Genomic DNA, 26,076 nt, shown 5'->3' on the forward strand with positions numbered 1-26,076 from the left:
AGCTGGGAGAGACCCACGACTTAATTCCATGACCGATGAAAACCTTTTCTAACTTTTTACCCCAGGTAAAGGGTCTCCAGGATCTATCTGACTCACACCTTAAGGGGAACAGCAGTGCCATGTACCAATCCGCGGATGTGATTCGAACACCTGCTAGGCTCACCCCTGCTGCAGTGAAAGGCTGACGGGGAAGAACCCGCCATCTTGGCCCCCTCAAGCTCAGCTGGAGGAGGAAGGGAAGAGTCAGGGACAAAATTCCACAGGACTTGTCTATATCACTGATCCCCACCCTCACAGGGCTGTCCAAACTTAAGCCCAGATGGGTCCACAAAAGGGTCCCAACGGAAAGAACTGCTCCCACACCTCCTGGAGAAACAGTCAAGAAGGCTATAGAAAAGGTTTAGAGAGAGAGGACCCGGTCAGGAAACAAGGCTCAAGTCAAGTCAGTCGCTTGAATTCAGGTGACCTACCCCCAACACCAACCCCTGCCCATGTGCAGCAAGAGTTTTTAAACTTAGTTAACAAACATCGACATAGTGTGTGCTCTGTGCCAGGTGCCATTCTAAAGGCTTCAAATACCAACTCCTTAAGTATTCATAACATCCCTTTGAGGTAGGTACTACTATTAGCTCCGTTTTTCTGATGAGGAGACTGAAGTGCAAAATGATTAAGAATCGTGCCTGAATTTATTTAGTCGTGGATCAGGAAGCGAAGGATGCTTCAGCTCGTCACCACCTTCACAGAAGAGCTTGTCACCACCACCTTCACGTCTGTTCTGGGCCCTGAGTGGGCTGTGTACAGAGAAGAAGAGAAGTGACCAGAGACAGGCTGCAAACTCAGCATAAAAGTTAACAGAGATGTTTTGTATCCTAATAATTATCATTAATACTAGGAATTGTTGTTGAGAAGTTTTTTTGTGAAGAGACTTTTAATCAGCTTACTTTTCTTAGCATTCCCAAACCTTATCCGTATCCAGCTGAGGATCACAGTGAAAAATGGTTGGGAGTCAGCTCTTCTCCAGGACCAATTAATAACATGAATCAGGAGGAATGTGAGGTTTTCTCAAGACAACCACATCCTACTTACTCATTTAAAATGAGCCTCCAAAATGCTGACTCAGCATAGCATCTCAGAACATGGTATATATCAGCAGTGAGAGTACATGAGATGTGAAGTAGAAAAGGTAAGCTTTGCGTCAGTTATCTATTGCCACAACAAAGCTGTGTGGCAACCTCAAAACTCAATGGCTTTTGTTGGGACAACTAAATATTTACATGCAACAACAACAACAACAAAAAACAACTTAGGCCCTTGCCTCTTATTACATACAAAAATTACCTCAAAATGAATCAAAAACCAACATGTAAGAGATAGAACTGTAAAACTTTTTGAGAAAACATAAGGGTTGGCTGGGCACAATGGCTCATGCCTGTAACGTCAGCACTTTGGGAGGCCAAGGCGGGGGGATCGCTTGAGGCCAGGAGTTCAAGATCAACCTGGCCAATATGGTGAAACCCCATCTCTACTAAAAATACAAAAATTAGCCGGGTATGGTGGTGCACACCGGTAGTCCCAGCTACTCAGGAGGCTGAGGCAGGAGAATCACTTGAACCAGGAGGTGGAGGTTGCAGTGAACCAAGATTGTGCCACTGCACTCCAACCTGTGTGACACAGTAAGACTCTGGAAAGAAAGAATGAAAGAATGAAACAATGAAAGAAAGCGAGAGAAAGAGAGAGAGAAAGAAAGAAAACATGGGGTAAATCTTCAAGACCTTGGATTCCTAGATATGACACCAAAAGCGTGAGCAACAGAAGGAAAAAAAAAGATCAATTGGACTTCATTAAAATTAAACATTTTGGCAGGGCATGGTGGCTCACGCCTGTAATCCCAGCACTTTGGGAGGCCAAGGTGGGTGAATCACCTGAGGTCAGGAGTTTAAGACCAGCCTGGCCAAGAGGGTGAAACCCTGTCTCTACTAAAAATACAAAAATTAGCCAGGCATGGTGGTGGGCGCCTGTAATCCCAGCTACTCAGGAGGCTGAAGCAGAGAATTGCTTGAACCCAGGAGGTGGAGGTTGCAGTGCACTGAGATCACCCCACTGCACTACAGCCTAGGCGACAGAGTGAAACTCCGTCTCAGAAAAAAAAAAAAAAATTAAACATTTTGTGCATCAAAAACACAATATCAACAAAATAAAAGAGCAATCCATAGAATGGGAAAGAATATTTGCAAATTATATATCTGATGAGTCTAGTATCCAGAATATATAAATAACTTTCAACAATTAAAATAAACAAACAAACAAAAAAGTTAAAACTGGCCAAGTTACTTGAATAGACGTTTCTCCAAAAAAGATATACAAATGGCCAACAAGAACTGGAAAAAGATGTTCAACATCATTAGTCATTAGCAAAATGCAAACCAAAACCACAGTGAGATACCATTTCACACCCACTAGGATAACTGTAATAATTTTTTTAAAGAAAGAAAATAAGTGTTGGTGAGGATGTGGAGAAACTGGAACCTTCCTACATTGCTGGTAGGAATATAAAAGGGTATATCCACTATGGAAAACAGTTAGGTAGCTCCTCAAAAATTAAATATAGGATTACCATATTACCCAGGAATTCCCCTTCAAGGTATATAGCCAAAATAATTGAAAACAGGTGTTCAAACAAAACCTGTACAGCAATATTTATAATAGCACTATTCACAATGGCAGACAGGTGTAAACAACCCAAATGTTCATCAATTTGGTAACAAAATGTGATAAATCCATATAGTGGAATATTTTTCAAGCACAAAAAGGAATGAAGCACTACATGCTACAACATGGATGAACCTCAAAACTTTTATGCTAAATGACATGAAAGGACATATATAGTAAGATTCCATGTATGTAAAATATCCAGGATAAGCAAGTCCTTTGAGACAGAAAGCAGATTACTGGTTGCCAGGGGTTGGGGTGGGAGCATTGGGAAATGACTGCTCAATGGGTATGGGGTGTCCTTTGGGAGTGAACTAGGAGTGGTGATAATTGTACAACATTGTGAATACATTAAATGCCACTGAATAGTACACTTAAAAAGGTTAAAATGCTAATTTTTATGTTAATTGCACCTCGATTTTAAAAAAAAACTCGGGCCAGGCACAGTGGCTCCCGCCTGTAATCCCAGCACTTTGGGAAGCCAAGGCAGGAGGATTGCTTGAGCTCAGGAGTTTGAAACCAACCTGGGCAATATTACAAAACCCCATCTCTACAAGAGGGAGGGAGGGAGGGAGGGAGGGAGGGAAGGAGAAAGGGGAAAGGGGGAAGGGAAAGGGAGAGGGAGGAAAGAGAGAGAGAGGGAGAGAAAGAAAGAGAGAGGAGAAAGGAAGGAAGGGAGGGAGGGAGGGAAATTATTTGGCCATAGTGGCATGCGCCTGTGCTTCCAGCTACTCAGGAGGCTGAGATGGAAGGATTTTTTGAGCCTGGGAGGTCAAGGCTGCAGTAAGTCAAAACTGTGTCACTGTACTCCAGCCTGGGAAATAGAGTGAGAACCTGTCTCAAAAATAAAATAAAAATTAAATTAAATTTAAGTTTTAAAAGGGCAACGGCTTTTTTTAAGAACTATTTCTCAGTCACATAATCTGTGGGTTGACTGGGGGTAAGGTGATCTAGTCTGAGCTAGGCTGGGCTTGGTTTGAGGCTACAAATTGGATACAGGTCTGCCTCACATGTCTCTCATCTTCCTCAGACCAGTAGACTAGACAGGGCATGATATGATTTGGCTGTGTCCCCACCCAAATCTCATACTGAATTGTAGCTCCCATAATTCCCATGTCTCATGGGAAGGACCCAATGAGAGGTAATTGAATCATGGGGGCAGGTCTTTCCTGTGCTGTTCTCATGACAACACATAAGTCTCACGAGATCTGATAGTATACATAAAGGGAAGTTCCCCTGCACATGCTCTCTTGCCTGCCACCATGTAAGATGTGACTTTACTCCTCTTTTGCCTTCTGTCATGATTGTGAAGCCTCCCTAGCCATGTGGAATGGCGAGTCCATTAAACCTCTTTTTCTTTATAAATTACTCAGTCTCAGGTATATCTTTATTAGCAGCATGAAAACAGACTAATACAGGGCATATTCTTCTCATGGGGATAGCAGAAGCAGAGGGCAAGGCCAATACACAAATGCATTGAAAGCCTTGGCTTGCATAGTGTCTGCTAACATCCTGTTGGCCAAAGCAAGTCACATGGCTGAGCTGAAGGACAAGGGGCAGGAAGTATACCCCACTACTGGTAAAAGGTGCTTCAAAGTTGGATGGCAAAGGACAAAGATAAAGGGAGGGGGAAGAATTGGGAACTCTAAAACAATCTACCTCAGCTCTTCCCCTACACAGGAGACCTCTTCATTCTTCAATCCTAGATGGTAAGGATCCCTCCCTAGCTTTTCTACAAGCTTTCATAATTTTCTAGAGCAAAGGATGTTCTTCTAAGTAATGTGACCCAATTCACTCAAGGTAACTCTTATTATATTGTAAAAAACACAGATCAAAGTAAGTGTTTATGAAGTTCCCTGGGCTTTTCTAATGCTTAGCAGAGGAAATGCATGGGTTCCAAGACAATTATGCAGTCCTCACTATCAGATAAGACATTTTCAGATGCTCTAGTTCTCCCCTCCATAGTTCGTGGCAGATTTTAAAACTGACCATTAGTCAAGGGAAGAAAGAGGATATGGAAGATTGTGTAGGAATTTTATGGGCCAGTCCTGGAAGTAGCAGACATCACTTCTATCTCCATCCTATTGGCTAGAACTCAGTCATACAGTTGCAAATTTTATAGCTGCAAAGAAGACTGACACATGCAATCTAGCCATGTGCCCAAGAAAAAAAATGAACTGCTTAGCCAGTCTCTGCCACATTCTATATTAAGCTGCCTTTATTTGAATGTCAAATCACCTAAAGTCGGCTTTCAAAATGTGTTAACCTCTTATTTGTGGGGGTTTGGGGAACCACTTTTTCAAGACTGGGGCTGCAGAGAGGAACCCTGGCAGGAGGTTTGAGGACAATGGCAACAGCAACAGCTAGAGACACAGGGACAACACCAGTAGGAACAAAATTCAGATCAAAGCAGTGGAAGCCTACACCAGAACTTGAAGTAAAAGCATGTGAAGCATCAGTGACCCCAGGATTCCAATGCCTGGAATCCGAGCTAGAAAAGGGAATGGGTTCCTAGAGACAAATGCCATCAAAGGACAAAAGCCTTGACCTCATCTGAGTCTGGCCTGGGGAAACAAGACTTCCACGTATTGCTTACATATTTCAATGGTCCATTAATGGTTTGCTCCTTCAACTTTTACAGTCACCCTGAATAAATTTCAGATCCAACAAGCAATAGAATCAAAGTGATTTGGACACAAAAGTACTTCTTTCCTTTCTCTCCCACTCCTTTTGCCAACCTTGCTCCTTATTATAGCTGCCCTGAACCAGGGAAAAGAAAAAGCTAGGCCAACGGTGCTGTTAACACCTCCAAGGCCAAGGAAAGACAAAATGAATTCAAAAATCATACTTCCAATGTACTCATTGCGCTTCCTGGAGCTGGCAAGCTCTTTATTTCTCTGCAATGACCTACTCTTCTCTCCTGAAATTTCAAGCCGGTTGCCACTTCCACCCTTCTAACTGGGGGCTTTATTATCTTAAGGTGTGAAAAGTTTCTTCGGCAGAAGTCTGCCTGGGAGAGAAATCAGAATGATTTAAGCAGTGCCCATGTGTGTAGAAAATGGAAGAGAATCCCCAGCTGACACATCAGAAGGGAAAAATGTAAGCTCAGATGCATTTATTAAGGGAGGTTGAATATCGGCTCAGCAACTTCCCCCCCACCCTCACTTTTTTTAACTCTCAGATACTATTTTAATGTAAAGGTACCACAAGTCCTCAGCAAATCACAGCTTTGAAGGAAAATGTCAATTCCTATCAAACCCTGAAGAATTGTTGGAGCTGATGGAAATCTAAATTCAGCCTTTGGTTTCCCCATTTTCCCTTCCGTCCCTCCAAACCAATCCCCTCCTCTGCCAACTTGCTCCTAAAGTGCAGGAACAGAGCTGCAAATCAACGCCTGGGGGACATCCCATCAGACAATGGGAAGGTCTGAAGAAAGGTTAAAGCAGAAAGAAAACTAAATTTATAGACTTAGCATTAAAATCTTAAAGGACCTTAGGAACAGCAATGAATCTGATGTTAGGAAAGGCAGGGGCTGTCAGAGGCCATGGCAGGACGGCCTGACAAGGGCTATAAATCTAAGCGAGGAGAGGGAAAAAATAGGCGTCCTTTCAGGCTGAGTCAACGTGATGAAAAGATCTGAACGTGGACTTGAAAGAGAGGCAAGGCCGCAGAGGCATGGCGGGGAAGAAGCGGACTGGGGACTGCAAATAAAGGATGAAAAGGGCAGGAGATCGTGGGGGTGGGAGAGAGGAGCAGGCTGGGGCTAGCAGAGGCCTACAACAAAGACACCAGCAACACACTTTGGGCTGTGGAGGGAACTTTGAAACTGATCCCCAAAGAAAGGAAACAAAAGCTGTGCTTGCTCCTTGCTGTATAGATGAGATGGAATGCAAAGCAACCTTGTAAGCAACCAGAATCAACATGGAAACCAGGAAGCCCAGGGCAAAAGAAGATGTGGAGGGGATTGGAGAAAGGCAGCAGCATCTAATGGTTAGAACACAAGCCAGAAGGCCGGGAACTCCCAGGAGTATTTTTAATTTTCATTCACTCATTCTGTGTGTTTTTGGGTTCTTGGTTTTTGATTCTTTCAATGATGCCCTCTGGGGTTCAAGTAAGATACATTACAATGCTAATTAAAATATTAGATGTAAGCCAGGCACAGTGGCTCACCCCTGTAATCCCAGCACTCTGGGAGGCCGAAGCGGGTGGATCACTTGAGGTCAGGAGTTCATGACCAGCCTGACCAACATGGTGAACCCGTCTCTACTAAAAATACAAAAATTAGCTGAGCATGGTGGCACACACCTGTAATTCCAGCTACTCAGGAGGCTAAGGCAGGAGAATAGCTTGAACCCAGGAGGCAGAGGCTACAGTGAGCCAAGATTATGCCACTGCCTTCCAACCTGGGCAACACAGCAAGACTCCCTCTCAAAATAAATAAATAAATAAATAATAAAATAAAAATAAAAATTAGACATAAGACAATTACAACTGAAAATAACATACCATGAATTATTATAAAATGCCAAGTTCAAATGGTCTTCCCCTCTGGGCAGGCCCCATGGGAAAAGGAGGATTGGCATCACTTTGCCAGGGCTTCTGCCAGCTTCACTTATGTCCTAGAGTGAGGCATTGTTTCCTCTGCCTCAGTTTCCCCCAGTGGAAAGGAAGTTGGCAGATCTGTTTCACAGTTGCCAGAGAGGATTAGTTAAATTAATATCATCATGGTATATTTCAAACCCTTGAGATTAAGTGTAGTTGTTCAGGTACACGCACATACATATATACACACCCATGCATGAAATGCAACCTTTTCAGTCTTTTGAAATACGAAAATCAGTTTCCCTTCTACTTATATCTGATATATGTTTCCACTCCATTTGCTTTCTACATTTTCCATTTCCTCTCTTTTTCTAGTTGCTTTTCCCTTCTTATCAAATTTCTGTCCACTTTTTCCAGCTTCTGTCTTCTCTCTTGTCTGGCACTTTGACTCTCCCCAGTTTTGCATTTCTCCCAATTGTCTTGGAAGCTAGAGTGCATCTCATGTGCAAGGTCGTTTCATAGGTGACTGCACATTGCCATTAATATTCATTAGCTTTCTTAATCTGCAGTAAAAAATAGAAAAAAAATACTACCTTTCCATGTGTCAGACTAGTTGATTGGTAGGTTCTACTTTTAAAGCATCAAATTCTCATTCTATAGAGAACTTGGAGGTCTGAAAGCTCTGGTGTGGTGGACAAATTTCCTTGGACCAACCAAGGAGAAAGAAATTAGCAAAGCTGAGAGATGATCTTGCAGGAGAAAGTTAAGCTTCAAAGTGATAAGCATCATTATAACCTTCACAGGTGAATTCATCTAGGTGTATTTCCCAAGAATGGCGATCACCTTTCATAGCCTAGACACTAGCAGATCAAAGGGATTTCCCTGAAACATTAAGAATTTTAAACTCTGGAACCTAATAAATGCCTTCAAGAGTTTTCTATTGCCTATAAAAAGTCAATGTGGGCCAGATGCAGTGGCTCACACCTGTAATCCCAGCCCTTTGGAAGGCCGAGGTGGGTGGATCACTTGAGGTCAGGTGTTCAAGACCAGCCTGGCCAACATGGTGAACCCTCGTCTCTACTAAAAATACAGAAATTAGCTGGGCATGGTGGCGGGTGCCTGTTAATCCCAGTTACTTGGGAGGCTGAGGCAGGAGAATCACATGAACCCAGGAGGCAGAGGTTGTGGTGAGCTGCAATCATGCCACTGTACTCCAACCTGGGTGACACAGCAAAACTCCATCTGAAAAAAAGAAAAAAAGTCAATGTAGATCAGGAAAAGCTGGATGTTGCAACCCAGACCTAGCATGTACCATCTTAAAACACAGAGAGAAGCCAAACATATCTGTGTATAAGGTAAAGGTGTATAAAGAGTAAAAATAAAATAAAATAAAAAGATGGAAAAGTAAACACCATCTTAGATATTTAGAACCTCTCATAAGAAATAATTTTTTTTTTTGCTTATGTCAATGGATCCATAAAATAAATGGACTTAACCTGACTTCTAACTCATTTGGTGAAAAGCTAGTAGACTAGAGGTTTATTTGTAGAACTGGGATCTTTCAGCAACTCAGTAACAGACTTCCTGTTTGACTTTGGGCAAGTTATTTAACTACTTGATATCTAAAGTTACTCATCTGTAACATGAGTAAAATAATATGATAGCCACATTATTTTTGGCGCTCAGACTGCTCCCAACTTAGAGTGTGTAACTAAATCTCACAGACGAATTTCACAGAATTAATGAATATCTGCAAATGCTGTAGGCCCTCAAGTCAAATGCTCTCTTCATGGTCTTATCATTATAAAGTAGACATTAGTAGCCCCAGTATCATCACCCCTCCCCTAAGTCATCTCTCTCCTGTCTGGTATGACCTCTCTGTGTTTAAGAACATGTCGGTCCCTCTAGTGAAAAGGCCTTCCCTCCATTCTCCCATCTATCAGAGTCCCTACTGAGACAGCCAAGTGCAAAGGGGTTCCTGCAAAAACTCCAACTGGCCTGTGCACTGGGAGGAGTGCACATTGAGGGGGGTAGAGCCACAGAAGTTTGTGCTGTTTGCAGCGGGGAGGAGCCTGGCCCCTCCTCTTCCTAGGTGGAGCCTGGAATTCAATCTGCCCACTAGCAGGACTCTGGCTTTGTGGAGGGTCCCTGTTTCCCTTTTTTCCTTTTTGTCCAATAAATTCCATTATTCTCACCCTTCAAACTGTCTGTGAGCCTAATATTTCATGGCCATGTGACAAGAATCAAGCTCTTAGCTGAATTAAGAAGGAATTCCTACAACACTACCACATCTTTCCTCTAGAATGCATAGGAAATCATACTAACCTTGATTTGTCTTTTCTTCCTCCCTCCTTAACACCTTATAATCTGGTTTCTGTCCGTCACCCTATATGGTTTTGTTGGTGTTTCAAACTCAATCACTTTCCTATGTTCCAGTCCTTTTACAAAGGTGTGTTTTCTCTTCCACTTTTTCTAGAACTGTGATGATTTATGTCTAGACTTCAGAGATGCTTCCATATAGTAGATCACCTCCAACCTTTCCAATAATACCTTGGCAGAGTCATGTCTCTTCCTGCTCAGTGACCATGTCTTCTAATTCTTCTCCACATAGCATTTCCGATAAGTGATTTGTAATCAGGTGGTTTTCCTATCAACTCTATGTACAATTTCCAGCTTCTGTTTGTCTCTTTTAGATCTGCAAGTGAATTCTGTCCAAGATACCTGTATCAGTTATCCATTGCCATAATAATAATGCATAACAAACAATCTTAAAACACAGTGATTTAAAACAGTCACTGATTTTTATTGCTCATGAGTGTATGAATACTCTGGATGGTTTTGTGATGTGGGCCTAACTTGACTGATCTCAGCTGGGTGTGTTCACACATCCATGTCACGTGGTGGGTGGGTAAGAACTGGGTGATCTCAGATGGACTCAGAGGGGACAACTGGGATGACCTGGCTCTGCTCACCTGGTTTCTCACCCTCTAGCAGGCTCACCGGGATTTGCTCATATGGTGATGACAGGGTTACAAAAGAGTAAACACACCTGTGCAAGGCTCAGAACTGTAACACTGTTACTTCCACCACATAATTCTAATTGACCAAAGCAAGACATATAACCAGCCCAGATTCAAGGGGTGGGGAAGAAGGCACTCCTCTTGATGGAAGGAGATGCAAAATCATATTTTAAGAAATATGGATTCAGAGAGGGAAATAATTGGGACAATTTTTCCAATTATTCTACTACTACACCTCTGCATAAATGTCCGGCCGTCATACACAGACAAGCAAAGAAAAAGCTAACCTCCTTCTCTGAACTTGTTGGCAGTTCTATCAGCATTCCAAGATGCTCAGCTCCCTAAAATTTGAACTTCAAAACCATCATTCAGCCTACTTCAAAATCTCAGCATTGTCTGATTATATCACATCCTGGCTAGGCTCTTGAAATCATTTCCTTACAAACACCTGCATTTCCAGGGATCCATCACCCCTGCAAGTCATCTACATTCCCCTTCTGGGAGCATCACTTTGACCCTCTCCACCTCTTGCAGAAATCTCTGTTTCTGGTCATGCCCTTCCACCAACCTTTGCATATATGTACAGGCTAGTGTGCACATCTTTAAAATGAACAGTAGAGGAGAATCAACAGCAGAATGGTAGAAAATGAAAAAGGAAGAAAAGGAAGAACAACATTTAATGACACAGTAGTTGAAATCCAGTTTATCTATGTCTTCTCATTGAGCTAACCCCTGAAAAACTCAGAGAATGTCAAATATAATATCTTCAATCCATTCAATCATGCTGTATATCCAACTCTCACTACATATATAATTGTTGGAAAACTCATTAATCTAGATCTTATTGATATGCTTGCTATGAAAATTAATCATCTTGCTGGGCACGATGGCTCAGGTTTGTAATTTCAGCACTTTGGGAGGCCAAGGCAGGTAGATCACTTGAGGTCAGGAGTTCAAGACCAGCCTGGCCAACATGGTGAAACCCCATCTCTACTAAAAATACAAAAATTAGCCAAGCATGGTGGTGGGTGCCTGTAATCCCAGCTACTCAGAAGGCTGAGGCAGGAGAATCACCTAAACCTGGGAGGCAGAGGCTGCAGTGAGCCGAGATCACACCACCGCATTCCAGCCTAGGTAACAGAGTGAGAATGTGTTTCATTTAAAAAAAAAAAATCTCAAGCAAGATAGTTTTCCCTTTGCTAAATTCATTACAGCCCATGAGTAAAATACATGTTGTGATTGTTAATACTGTCAACTTGATTGGATTGAAGGATGCAAAGTATTGATTCTGGGTGTGTCTGTGAGGGTGTTGCCAGAGGAAATTACTATTTGAGTCAGTGGGCTGGGAAAGGCAGACCTACCCTTAATCTGGGTGGGCACAATCTAATCAGCTGCCAGCATGGCCAGGATATAAAGCAGGCAGTAAAACATGAAAAAGCTAGACTAGCCTAGCCTCCCAGCCTACACCTTTCTCCCATGCTGGATGCTTCCTGCCCTTGAACATTGGACTCCAAGTTCTTCAGCTTTGGGACTTGGACTGACTTCCTTGCTCCTCAGCTTGCAGACAGCCTATTGTGGGACCTTATGATAGTGTGAGTTAATACTACTTAATAAACTCTCCTTTATATATATCCTATTAGATCTGTCCCTCTAGGGAACCCTGTCTAATTCACATGTGCCTAGATTTTCAAAAGCATGTTTGAAAATTATAACAAGATCCAGACGCAGTCAATAATTTATAGAACTAAAGCCTGTAGTTGAGATATAGTATCCTGCTTGGGCTAAAACATGGAAACATTTTTCATGAATTTGCTCATTTTTATTCTCAACCCTTGCTTGCTGTTCTGCCAAAAATGCCCACCTCCTTGCCTTATCTCCTGTTTAGCCCATTTCTAGAGGACAAGGGTTTTGTCCCTACCACTATTCTCTTCTCCCAGCTTCCCCACATTGTTCTGGCACATAATTGAAATTTAACAAGTATTTACTCCTTACTGTGGTGGTATGGGGCCATTTCAAACGGACCACCCCTTGTTAGTAAACTTCAAAACTTCACAAAGGCACAAACTTGTAGTGGGAAAGTGCAGTCTTTTGAACATCTGGAATAAATGCCAAGACTCTGTGCTGAACATTCTTCCCTAGAGATTTCAAATTTGTATTTGGGTTTGTATGTGTGTGGTGGTAGCTATTGTTCTCGAAAAACCAATGTCTGGTGCTTTTTCTCTGGATTTTAGACTCATAACCTTAAACTAACTTTAACCCATTAACTGTTGACCTCTATTCTTTTTTTTGAACTTTGTTCCCTTTTATGCTTTCCTCACCCTGTGTCATTTAGAACCTCAAATTCCAGGTCTCGGAGCAAACGTCAAAAGTCCTTGGAGGGAGAACTCCTCATCCCACTGATTTTGTTTAGCATAAATCTAGCCCTTTTCCCTCTGTGTTTTCGGTGGCTCAGTCATTATTAACCGCCATATGTAATCTCAAATGCTGCTTCTCTCTATATTCTTTCAGGTATCCAAGCCCAGTCTTTGGGGACCACTTGATCTTCTTTGGTTTTCTTTGACTCCTGAATTAGGTCATTGATTTTTTTAGTTTCCCCTCCAATTTTCTGTAAGAAGCCAAGCAGACATAAAGCCAAGCAGAGAATCATAGCCACCAACCAAGAGGATAGAACCAGGGTCAGAGAGGGCTAAAGTTCCCAGATTGTTTCCTTTTCTATCACCCCATTTGTAAAGCATCCTTCTACTATGTTGACTTCAAGCCCCATATTTCACTCAGCTTCCTCTAACAGAGTCACCTTAGCCCTCTTCTCTTCTCTTTCCCACACAGTCTTGAGGCCCTAGAAAGTCTTTCTTCAATCCATACAGACAAACAGCTCCACTTATTAGTTTGATTCAATGCCAAGTTACTTTTCTGAAACACTTTCAGTCTGCATTATAAACCAACACTCCCACGAGAACTGGCCTGCTTCCTTCCCACACTGATAGTGTGAGGAGGGAAAAATCCCCACACATCAGAGACCAATCCCACTCAGGTCTGTGATTGGTTGAGAGACAATAGAGGGCGTGGTTCTGGGTCAGCTGTTCAGCTTCTCTATCCACCCTCTTTAAACTGCAGAAAGGAATAAATGGTCAAAAAGAAAATTAAGCAAATCAAACAAGATGAATTAAATGAGCTTGTCTTTCCACACGATAATCTGCATAGTGATGGGGAGCAGTTTCAAATCAAGATGGGAGCAGTAGCCAAAACTATTAGTAGGTTGGGAAATGGGGTGCATCAGGGGTCAGATTTACAAAACAGTGCTCTTTAGCCAAACCTCTGAAATACTAAACAAAAACAACACTCAGATACATTGAAAAGACCAACCCAAAGCATCTGGTTTCCTTAGCTGGTGCACATAGAAGAAGAAATGCTGGCAGAACATTTGATTACCATAAAAGAGAGGGCTATGCAGAAACCACATTAGAGTAAACTCAACCAAAACAAAGTCAAATGTTTGAACTGTTGTGAATAGATTATGGTGGAGACTTGGAAAAGGGTCTAGCCTGGATTAATGAGAAATGCAAATGAACTGGCTCAGAAGCAAACCAGCTTCCCCTGTGATGTGACCCTTTGCCTCTCAGATTTGGGGGTGAAGTAAATACCTGTCATCTTCAGAACTGCTGAGAGGCACATCACATCCACATGACGGGTGGCTGGACCAGGCATGTTAACCGTTTCCAGAGGAGTGATAAGTCAGCTTGATGCTGAAGTGTGTCTGCAGATCCCGCTTCACTGCCAACTCCACCTCTCTCTTCCTTTCAATGAAGAACTCCACGGAGCAGCTGGTTTTGATCATTTTGTCCATGGCAAAGACTGTGAGAAACACATTTATTTTGGTAAAACACAGCATACATACATACATAAATATATATATATATATTTACACACACATATATATATTTACACACACACACACATATATATATTTACACATATATATTTGCACACGCTTTTTCTCTGGGTTGTATATATGTCTATTTATTGTCCGGGGTTGGCAATAAACTTCAATCCATCTTCCAGAGTGTCCTCTTATGGGCTATCAACAAAACCTTTCCTAATTTGGGTTTTTGGCAGCTGAATCCAACCACCACTGGAAACCAAACTGCTGGGCTTTAGAAAGCCGAGCCCATCCATCTGGACAGGCCTTTCTCAAAGGAACCCTGACCTCCCCTGGAGACCCTCCCCCTCTAAGCCCCTCTTAGCATTATTGTGTTAAAAGAGGCTGTTGAGAAACCAATATTCGTTTGAGAATATGCAAGTGGTTCTCATCATGCTCTCCAAACCCTATCCGGAGTGGGAGCACAGAAAGATTCAATAATTTATAGGCTTGGAGGTTCAGTGAATCAGGAAAATTCTCCCCAAACTAGTGCTAACAAAAAGAATAGGGGAGGGAGTATGAAATTAGGTTGACAGGATGACTGGGAGTGTTGGTTATGGTTCTGCCTTCCTGGTAGGGGAATGAGCGCTGAGTAATAACCTTGCTGATGGTGAGTTATTTTCATGAGGGCATTTTAAATGGCTGCTCTTTCTCCCCAGATAGCCAGATTACCTTATGCCAGGGAGCCACCCCACCCCCGCTGCTTCTGCTGCCCGGTGCCTGGATTGAAAAATGTGAGGCAGCTGTGGGAGATGAGAGCCAGACGTCCTTCTATTTACTTATTTAACTAGTCTGCTGGCCTGGGTGCAGTCATGCAGTTTTCCATTTACATAATGTGCTAATTGGATATCAGTACCTGCCCAGCCTTAGTCCATTCTTAGGGGCCTCTAGATGCAGGTCTCGACTCTTTCACTCAAAATATGCCCTGGGTGCAAAGCGTGGGCAGGTAAAACACTTGAGAACAGTGTTCTTGATCTTTAGCATGCTTGAGAACCACTTGTGAACTTGGTAAAACACAAATTCTCAGGCCCACCCCAAAAGGTTCTGATTTAATATGTCTGGAATAAGGTCTGAGCATTTACATGTTTAACAAGAACTTGGCATTTCTAACAACAAAGCGATGCTGGCGTTGTTGGTCTGCAAATCACATAAGCCACTGCCTTTGAAGGATGACCTAGCTACCAGAAAAGTTTAGTAATGTGTTCCTTAGGCCGGGTGCGGTGGCTCAAGCCTGTAATCCCAGCACTTTAGGAGGCCGAGGCGGGCAGATCACAAAGTCAGGAGATCGAGACCATCCTGGCTAACACAGTGAAACCCCGTCTCTACTAAAAATACAAAAACAAAATTAGCCAGGCGTGGTGGCGGGTGCCTGTAGTCCCAACTACTCAGGAGGCTGAGGCAGAAGAATGGCGTGAACCTGGGAGGCGAAGCTTGCAGTGAGCTCGGAGATCGCACCACTGCACTCCAGCCTGGGTGACAGAGCGAGACTCCGTCTCAAAAAAAAAAAAAAGAAAGAAAGAAATGTGTTCCTTTATCTTCAATCAAGTCAACAAAGGATGTTAATTGGAAACTAATTTTCTCCAGGGAAGAAGAAAGAACTCTGGGGTCCTACAGGTGCAGGTGCTTATCCCTCCCCTACTCCTTCCACTGCTGATCTAATCCTTTAGGGCTTTGCTTGAGTCCCTCTGGGGCCTCCACCAGCTCCTGCAACCTAAGGTAACATCTCCCTTATCTGAATTTCTGCTGCACTTCAACACACTGCCGCCTGCTTTTGTCCTTAATTATGCACTAATTGTTCCCTGCATGTGAATTTTGTCATAGATCTGAACTTATGTGCAATTGGACAAAGGCCCTCTCAACACTCACAGAACTAGGAGTAGGCACAGAATGCTCTTTAAAATACATTTCAAAAATCAAAGCAGAGCTAAAGGAGTGTGCCTCGGAATGTAAGAACAGGTAACAATGGAGAGCTGTGACCACAAAGGAGTCATCAGATCAATCCATCACCATGTCATTTTGGCTGAGGTTCTAAATTTTTTGTTTGAAGTGGCTGGCAGGAGATAAAGTGCAACTCTGCTGTGTAGAAGAGTAATTGACTTGTATTTTCTGGTATTTTCTCTATACAGAAATTAGTTCAAACTATTTCCAAGATGTTCAAAAATTGGATGTGGCTGCATGAAACAGGTTAAAAAGTTTGATATGGTAGGGACTGACTATGGAATGGCAATGTGAGGAGTGTGGCAGACAGACCCTCTCCCCAGGTAAATACCATTTAAGTTCTGAAAATTATAAAAGGATAAGTAAAAGATAAGATGTATTTTCAAGCCCTAGAGCAACCATGAAGAAAATAGTTCAAATAATATGTAGTTCAAAAAATATGTAGTTTAAAAATCATTAAAGGCCTTAAAATTTTCTGCTAGAAAATATTCACTTAATGAAAAAGAAGACAGCAAAGGAATAACAGAAGAACAAAAAAAGGAGACATACAAAAAAAGAAGTAAATTGGCAGACATAAATCCAACCACACAATAGAAACACTAAATACGAATGGATTATACAATCCAATCAAAAGGCAGAGATTGCAGACTGAATAAGAAAACAAAACCCAAATATATTATGTCAACAAAAAATATATGCTAGATTCAAATATACAAATGGTTGAAAGTAAAAAAAAAAAAATGAAAATAAATATACTATCCAAACAGCAATCATAAAAGAAATGAAGTTGCTATATTCATATCAGACAAAACAGACACTAAAATAAATAATGTCACTGGGGATTAAAAAAGACATTTCATAATGTTAAAAATTATCAACCCATCAGAAAAATATAATAATTATAAGCCTATATGCAACTAATAATAGAAACTGAAAACACATGAAGCAAACATTAACAGAATTGAAGGAAGAAAGATAATTCAATAATAGTTGAAGACTTCAATACCTCAATTTCAATAATGAATACAGGAACTAGAGAGAAAATTGCCAAGCATATAGAAGATATCTAAAGAATATACCACCCAACAACAGAAGAATACATGTCCTTCTCCAGCACACATGGAATATTCTCCAGGATAGACCGTATACTAGGCCATAAATCAAACCTCAGTGAATTTAAGGGGGTTGAAATTATACAAATTGTTTTCCAGCCACAGTGGAATTAAATTAGAAGCCAATAACATCAGTAAATTTGGAAAATTTAAGAATATTTGGAAGTTAAATACACACTCTTAAATAATCGATGGCTCAAAAAATAAATCATGTGAGAAATAAGGAAATACTTTGAAATGAATGAAAATTAAAACACAACATTCCAAAACGGGGGTTGCATCTACAGCAGTGCTTAGAGATGAGTTTACAGCTATGCATGTCTATGTTAAAAAAGAGGGCAGATCTCAAATCAATAACCTAGTCTTTCACATTAAAGAACTGGAAAGGAAGAGAAAACTAAACCCAAAGCAAGCAGAAGTCAGAAAATACTAAAGAATAGAGCAGAAATAGATGAAATAGAGAATAGAAAAAAATCAACAAAACTAAATATCGGTTATTTGAAAGAGCACTACAATTGACAAGCCTTTAGATACCAAGAAAAAGGGAGAAGATTATAATTACTAAAATCAGGATTTAAAAAGAGGCATCACTACCGACCTTACAAAAATAAAAATAATTATAAGTTAATGGTATGTTATACCTTATGTAATTGTGCCATAGTTCTTATATAGTCCATTCTAATTTTTTCATTCATTTTTATCTTTGCTTTTTCAGTTTGGAAAGTTTCTATTGACATGTCTTCTAGCTCACTGATTCTTTTCTCAGCCGTGTCCAGTCTACTGATTAATGCACCAAAAGCATTGTATTAGTCCATTTTCACACTGCTGATAGAGACATACCCAAGACTGGACAATTTACAAAAGAAAGAGGTTTAACTGGACTCACAGTTCCATGTGGCTGAGGAGGCTTCTCAATCATGGTGGAAGGCAAGGAGGAGCAAGTCACATCTTTTGTGGATGGCGGCAGGCAAAAAGAGAGCTTCTGCAGGCAAACTCTCGTTTTTAAAGCCATCAGATGTCATGAGACTTCTTCACGATCAAGAGAATAGCACAGGAAAGACCTGAGCCCATGATTCAATTATCTCCCACCAGGTCCCTCCCACAACACATGGGAATTATGGGAGCTACAAGATGAGATTTGGGTGAGGACACAGAGCCAAACCATATCAGGCATCATTTCTTTTATGGTGTTTTTTCTTTCTAGCATTTTCTTTTGATTTGTTCTTAGGGTTTCTATCTCTTGTATATTGTCAACCTTTTCTATGAGAGCTATTGGCATATGAATGAGTTATTTTAATACCCAGTCTCATAAATTCAAAATATCTGCCATACCTAGGTTTGGTTCTGATGCTTAACTTTTTCTTTTCAGGCTGTGTTTTTGTCTTTTAGCATGCTTTATAATTTTTTTTGTTGAAAGCCAGACATGACATACTGGGTAAAAGGAACTGAGCACTAAACAGGCCTTTAGTGTGAGGTTTTCGTTTATGCTAGGAGCAAGGCTGTGTTTACTGTTTGCTATAACTGCAGGCGTCAAAGGATAAATTTCCTTTGTCTTTGATTCTGTCCCCCTATTATCTTTGGATTTCTCTAAATACTACCTAGTAAATAGAGTCTGAGCTTACCATCCTTTTACCTATAATTCACTGTTATTGTACCAAAGCCTAATTGATGTAGTGTTAGTTCAATATTATTTAACAATAAAACACTCAGCAAACAAGTAGTAGAATAAAGGGCATCTATGAAAAAACAAATTAACATCACATTTAATGATAAAAGATTGATTACTTTCCCTTTGAGACTAAGAACAAGACAAGGTTTTCCACTCTTACCATTACTATTCAATATTATACTGGAGTAGCCAGAGAAATTAGGTAAGAATAAGAAATATAAAGCATCCAGATTGGAAAGGAAGAAGTAAAACTCTCTCCATCCACAGATGACATGATCTCTTATTTAGAAAAAAACTAAAGAATTCACACAAAAATGAGACTAATAAAGGAGTTCAGCAAAGTTGTAGGACATAAGGTCAATATATAAATATCAGTTGTAGTTCTATACAGTAACAATGAACAATCCAAAAATAAAATTAAGAAAACAATTTCATTTACATTAGCATCAAAAAATTGAAATACTTAGGAATAAAAAGGACAAGACTTATACACTGAAAACTACAAAACATTGTTGAAAGAAAGTAAAGATGTAAACAAATGGAAAGACAGCTCATGTTTATAGATTGAAAGACTTAATAGTTTAAAATGGCAATACTCCCTAATTAACCTATAGGCACAATGCAATCCCTAGCAAAATTTCAGCTGGCTTTTTTGGGGGATTGAGGGGAACTGACAAGCTGACTGTAAAATTCATATGGAAGTACAAGAGACATAATAGCCAAAACAATCTTGAAAAAGAAGAATAAATTTGGAGGACTCACACTTCAAATTTCAAACTTACTGTAAAGCTATAGCAATCAAGAATACAGTACTGGCACAAGGACATAGAAATCAATGGAATAGAATTGAAAGTTGAGAAATAAACCTTACTTGATGGTCAATTAATTTTCAACAAGGGTACCAAGACAATAAAATGGGGATAGAACAGTCTTTTCAACAACAAACGGTACTAAGGACATCCACATACAAAAGAATGAATTTGGCCCCCTTTCTCAGACTGCCTTGGTCCATTTGTGTTGCTCTAAAGGAATACCTCAGGCTGGGGAATTTATAAAGAGAAAAGGCTTATTTGGCTCACAGTTCTACAGACTATACAAGAAACATGGCACCAACATCTGCTTCTGGTGAGAGCCTCTGCTTCCACTGACAGCAGTAGGCAAAGGGGAGACAGCGTGTAGAAATTGCATGGCAAGAGCAGAGGCAAGGGAGAGAGGAGAGAGGTGACAGAGTTTTTTAAACAACGAGCTCTCACAGGAAATAATGAAGCAATAACTCATTACTTGAAGATGACTCCAAGCCATTCATGAAAGATTTGCCCCCACGACCCAAACACCTCCAATTAAGCCCCACCTCCAACCTTGAGAATCAGAATCAGATTTCAACATGAGATTTGGAGAAGTCAAATATCCAAACCATAGCACACACCACACATAAAAACTAACTCGAAAGTGGATCATAGATCTAAATGTAAGACTTAAAACTATAAAACTCTTGCAAGAAAACACAGGAGTAAATATTCATACCCTTGGATTGAGCAATAGTTTTTCAGATATCACCTCAAAAGCACAGCAACAAAAGAAAAAATATACACACTGGAATTCATCCAAATTAAAAATATTTGTGCTATAAATGGTATCATCAAGAAAGTAAGAAGACAATCTGCAGAATGGGAGAAATATTTTCAAATTATGCACATGATAAAAGACTTGTGCCCAGAAAATAGCAAAGGGGGAAACACAACTCAATTCCTCTTTTTTTTTTTTTTTTTTTTTTTTTGAGATGGAGTCTCACTCTATCGCCCAGGCCGGAGTGCAGTGGCGCGATCTTGGCTCACTGCAAGCTCCGCCTCCCGGGTTCACGCCATTCTCCTGCCTCAGTCTCCCAAGTAGCTAGGACTACAGGCGCCCGCCACCACGCCCGGCTAATTTTTGTATTTTTAGTAGAGACAGGGTTTCACCTTGTCAGCCAGGATGGTCTCAATCTCTTGACCTCGTGATCCGCCCACCTCGGCCTCCCAAAGTGCTGGGATAACAGGCGTGAGCCACCACACCCAGCCCTTTAATTTAGTTTTTAACAAGGTTACATGAGCACATACTTTAAAAAGTCAAATAGTTCTACAAGACTTGTTGCCACAAATAGCAGTCCCTGCCCCCATTTTCCTTCCCCAGAGGCAACTAATTTTAATTCTTACCATTAATTTTTGTTAGTATTTGTGTCCATATCAGTACATAACATGCGTGTATGTCTAATTCCTGATTGGTCTGTTTTAGGTACTATCTACGAACTTCCCGCTGGGGAAGATGAGGATTTAGCACTCCTGCCAACTCCCTTTACCCCTAACACACACACATGGACTCCCCCTGCCCCACAGGTCCCTAAGACATGACATCACATTTTTCAGATAGATTAATATTCTGTATTTATATCTATGACTAAATGCTATTTACAGATAAGCCACGTACTATCCTATGATTAGTTTTCCTTGCCTGCACACATTTTGTTTTGCCTGGAGTTATCTTATTTTGCTTTCTTGTTATCAATATTGTTGCCATTAATCCAATCCCAGGCTCCCCATCTCTCAATATGTTTGGATGCAATAGAGAGACTTTCGAGGTTACCTTATTGAGTGAAAAACTCCCATAGGTCCTCCTAACTCCTCCAGGTTGCCCTCAACTCCTTGGTTCTGGGTGCATGGCTGTCACCATGGTCCTGGCTAGTCCCTTCTCTTCCCTCCTTTATTGGGTCTTCTGTTAACTATCTCCCATGTCCTTGGTTTGCAACCTCAGTCTGGTGGAGCACATCTTCCAGTAGCTTCCTGAGAAAAAGTGCATGAGAAGTAAAATGATTGAAACTCTGCATGATTTAAAATGTCATTCACCCACTCCCAGGTTAAAAGAATATATAGACACATAATGATTCCAGTAGCTGCAAACAAAGCATTTATAAAATTCAATACAAATTCAAAATTTAAAAAGAATTTCTTACTGCAGAATTATTCACAATAGTCAAAAGGTAGAAACAACCCAAGTTGAATGGGTGAAGATGAATGAATAAATAAAATGTGGTATATACATATAATGGAATATTATTCAGCAATAAAAATGAGTGAAATCTGGATACATGCTACAACATGGATGAACCTTGAAAACATTATGTTAGGTGAAAGAAGTCAGACACAAAAGGACAAATATGTGATTTCACTTATATGAAATATCTAGGCTGGGCACAGTGGCTGACACCTATAATCCCAGAACTTTCAGAGGCCAAGGGAGGAGAATCGTATGCATGCAGGGCTTTGAGATCAGTCTGGACAACACAGTGAGACCCCGTTGGAGGGAGGGAGGGAGGGAAGGAAGGAAGGGAGGGAGGGAGGGAGGGAGGGAGGGGAAGGGAGGGAGGGAGGGGGAGAGAGAGGAAAAAAAGAAAAGGAAAGACAGGAAGAAAGGAAGGAAGGAGAGAGAGAGAAAGAAAGAGAGAAAGAAAGAAAAGAAAAAGAAGGAAAGAAAAGAAGAAAGAAAGAAAGAAAGAAAGAAAGAAAGAAAGAAAGAAAGAAAGAGAAAGGAAGGAAGGAAGGAAGGAAGGAAGGAAGGAAGGAAGGAAGGAAGGAAGAAAGAAAGAGAAAGAAAGAAGGAAGGTAGATCTAGAGTAGACAAGTTTATAAAGACAGAAAGTAGAATAGAGGTACCAGGGCCTCGGAGAAAAGGGGAACAGGATGTTCTTGCTTAATGGTTACAGAGTTTCTTTTTGGGGTGATAAAAAAGCTTTGGAGATAGTGATTATGGTTGCATACATTGTGAAGGCAATTGATTAATGCCACTGAATTGTACACTTCAAAGTGGTTAATATAGCAAATTTGTGTTATATATTTTTTACCACAATAAAAATTTTTCAGAAGAAAAAATTCTTTCCAAATTAAGAATAGAGGAAACTTCCTTAGTCTGAGAAAGAGTACCTACAAAATAATAACTTTAAGGCCAGGTGTAGTGACTCATGCCTGTAATCCCAGCATTTTGGGAGGCCAAGGCAGGCGGATCACTTGAGGCCAGGAGTTCAAGACCAACATGGCCAACATGGCAAAACCCCATCTCTGCTAAAAATACCAGTATCAGTCGGGCGTGGTGGCACATGCCTACAGTCCCAGCTACTCAGGAGGCTGAGGCACGAGAATTGCTTGCACCAGGGAGGCAGAGGTTGCAGTGAGCCAAGATGGCACCACTGAACTCTATCTAGCCTTGTGACAGAGTGAGAATATGTCTCAAAAAATAAAAAGTAAATTTAGAACACCATTCTAAATGGGAAAACATTAGGATACTTTCCTTAAAAGTCAAAAATAAGGTAAGATGGCCTAGTCTTATCATTTCTATTCAGTGCGATATTGACAGCCCCAGCCAGCACAAAAGCAGAAGAAAAAGAAAGAAGGGATGAAAAGAAAGAAATAAAAGTCATTATTTTCAAACAAAATAACTGTTTTCACCAAAAAACAAAAAGAATGTATGAGCAAATTGTTAGAAATAATAAGAAAGCTTAGCAAAAGGCAATTGCATTTCTGTACTCTTGGAATAAACAACCAGAAAATGTAACTAAAGAGAAGACAACACTTACAGTAGTTTCAAAGGATACCAAGAATCTAGAAATAAATATAAAAATACACTGGAGCCCTCTATAGGGAGAATTATAACACTTTATTAATAGCCAGTTAGATGACCCAAATACATTGAAGAGTATACCACATTGTGAATAAGATGATCACATAGTACTGTTCATCTCCGCAATTCAATAAAGCTCCAATCAAAATGCTAACATGTGTTTTTGAGGAACTTGATAAGCTGATTCTAAATTTACATGAAATAATAAAAAGAAAAAAAAAAAACAGGCAGAACTTTTGTCAAAAAGATGAGCGTGGAGGAAAGACTTGCCCCACCTAATAACATGCTTTTTTATTTCTGAAACTACAGTAATTAAGACACGATGGTATTGGCACAGGGACAGACAAACAGACCACAGAATAGAATAAAGCACTCAGAAATAGACAACCACATGCATGAAACTCTAGTATATATAACAGAGGCCTGCCAGACCGGTGGGAAAATAAATTGAGCTGGATAAAAAAGGTTATGCCTACAGAAAAACATGAAATTAGATCCCTACATCATACCATATACCAAAATTCATTCCAGATGGATTGAGTGCTTAACTATAAAAAAAAAACAACTTTAAAACTCTTAGTAAAACTCTTTTAGACTTTGAGATAGAGTAGAATTTCATAAACAATACTCAAAAAGTGTTAACTATTTTAAAAAATTGATAAATTTGACCATACTAAAATTAAGAACCCCTATTTGTCAAAAGAAAGTGAAAAACAAGCTACAGATGACAAGAAGATAAAGGCAAAATATATCATTATTCTCAGACAACAGGCATAACTAGGACTGTCCTACCCACCCTCTGGCCAGCAGTTCTACTCCTGGTGTAACTTTATGAGAGACTTTTGCCCATGAACACCTGGAGCCATCTACAAGAAAAGTGTGTTCATATGAACACTGTTCACAATAGCAAGGCCTGGAAACAACCCAGATTCCCTTCAACAAGAGAGTGGATGAATAAATTGTGGTATATTCACACAATGGAACATAATAGAGCAGTCAACAGGAATGAGCTATAGCTGTACACCACAGTATATAGAAATTCTAAAAATATAATGTTTTTAAAAAGTAAGTCCTGAATGAACCCATACAGCATAACATGCTTTTTATAAAATTAAATAACTTTTTTTAAAAAACTAGCTTTGGGCCGGGCGCGATGGCTCACGCCTGTAATCCCAGCACGTTGGGAGGTCGAGGCGGGCAGATCACGAGGTCAGGAGATCGAGACCATCCTGGCTAACACAGTGAAACCCCGTCTCCACTAAAAATACAAAAAAAAGTAGCCAGGCGTGGTGGCGGGCGCCTGTAGTCCCAGCTACTCGGGAGACTGAGGCAGGAGAATGGTGTGAACCTAGGAGAAGGAGCTTGCAGTGAGCCGAGATCGCGCCACTGAACTCCAGCCTGGGCAACAGAGTGAGACTCCATCTCAAAAAAAAAAAAAAAGAAAAAAAAACTAGCTTTGTAGGAATACCATTGAATGAGCATGGATGGACTTAGGCTATGCCAACTACCTAAGCCGGAACTACACTTCCCGGAATTCCCTTCCCTGCATAGTTCTTATTAGCAGGGGCCACAGAAGACATTTTCTATATCTAATTTTTTTATTTTTTTATTTTTTTATTTTTATTTTTTCTGAGACAGGAGTCTTGCTCTGTCACCCAGGCTGGAGTGCAGTGGCACGATCTCGACTCACTGGAACTTCCACCTCCTGGGTTCAGGCAATTCTCCTGCCTCAGCCTCCTGAGTAGCTGGGACTACAGGTATGTGCGCCCACGTCCAGTTAATTTTTGTATTTTTAGTAGAGATGAGGTTTCACCATGTTGGCCAGGCTGGTCTCAAACTCCTGACCTCATGATCTACCCACCTCGACCTCCCAAAGTGCTGGGATTACAGGCATGAGCCACCGCACCCAGCCTCTGTATCTAATTTTCCTATTATTCTATCTCATTCCTAGGGTTCTATGATCACACTCTGACTGATACAAGATGAAACAATCTACAAAGGAAGTAAAGGAATGCCGAATACAATATCCCTACCTCCTTCACGGTTTTACTTACTACAGTACTGTGGTCAACTGCAATTCGAATATATTACACAGAAAATTCCAGAAATAAACTATTCATAATGTTTAAATTGCATGCTGTTCTCAGTAATGTGATGAAATCTGCTGTCCTACTCTGTCCTTCCTGGGATGTGAATTCTTCATTTGTCCAGCGGGTCCACGCTGTCTATGCTCCCCACCTGCCAGTCACTCAGGACTCATCTTGGTTATTGGATAGACTGTCATGGTACAGCAGTGTTTGTGTTCCAGTAACCCTTATTTTACTTAGTAATGGCCCCAAAGTGCAAGAGAAGCAATGCTGGCATGTTGTTATAAGTGTTCTATTTTATTATTAGTGATTGCTGTTAATTTCTTACTATTGGAGACCCAGTATACCTGGAGATTCCATACACCTGGATACCTGGTTATACCTGGTACACCTGGAGATTGCTGCCATTGATCTGGATCTTTAAGAATGTAAAGCT

General features: G+C 40.7%; 2 long non-coding RNA genes across 4 annotated transcripts in view, besides 1 other annotated feature; one reads left to right on the plus strand and one right to left on the minus strand.

Moving 5' to 3' along the window:
* Nucleotides 1-21,651, minus strand: part of LOC105373847 (uncharacterized) — a 44,502-nt gene extending 22,851 nt beyond the window's left edge. The window contains exons 1-3 of one of the 3 annotated variants that reach the window (XR_923802.3): nt 21,526-21,651; nt 13,913-14,123; nt 9,577-9,959 (exon numbers count right to left, since the gene is read on the minus strand). This is a non-coding gene — a long non-coding RNA (uncharacterized LOC105373847). Of the gene's footprint in view, nt 1-9,576; nt 9,960-13,912; nt 14,124-15,043; nt 15,179-16,053; nt 16,103-21,525 lie in introns of those variants that run through there. The other 2 variants (XR_923803.3, XR_923801.3) reach the window with 2 other exon arrangements.
* Nucleotides 14,291-14,792: an enhancer, noted in NCBI's record as "NANOG hESC enhancer chr2:206700713-206701214 (GRCh37/hg19 assembly coordinates)". NCBI's record gives its function as "activates a minimal SCP1, AML or CMV promoter by ChIP-STARR-seq in naive H9 embryonic stem cells {active_cell/tissue: H9 hESC(naive)}" and the evidence as "EXISTENCE:reporter gene assay evidence [ECO:0000049][PMID:30033119]".
* Nucleotides 16,248-25,683, plus strand: LOC124907969 (uncharacterized). The gene is made up of 2 exons (XR_007088058.1): nt 16,248-16,448; nt 25,505-25,683. It is a non-coding gene; the product is annotated as an uncharacterized LOC124907969 (long non-coding RNA).
* Nucleotides 25,684-26,076: the final 393 nt, after the last annotated feature.

This window comes from Homo sapiens, chromosome 2, assembly GCF_000001405.40.
Source record: "Homo sapiens chromosome 2, GRCh38.p14 Primary Assembly".
Lineage (NCBI taxonomy): Eukaryota > Metazoa > Chordata > Mammalia > Primates > Hominidae > Homo > Homo sapiens.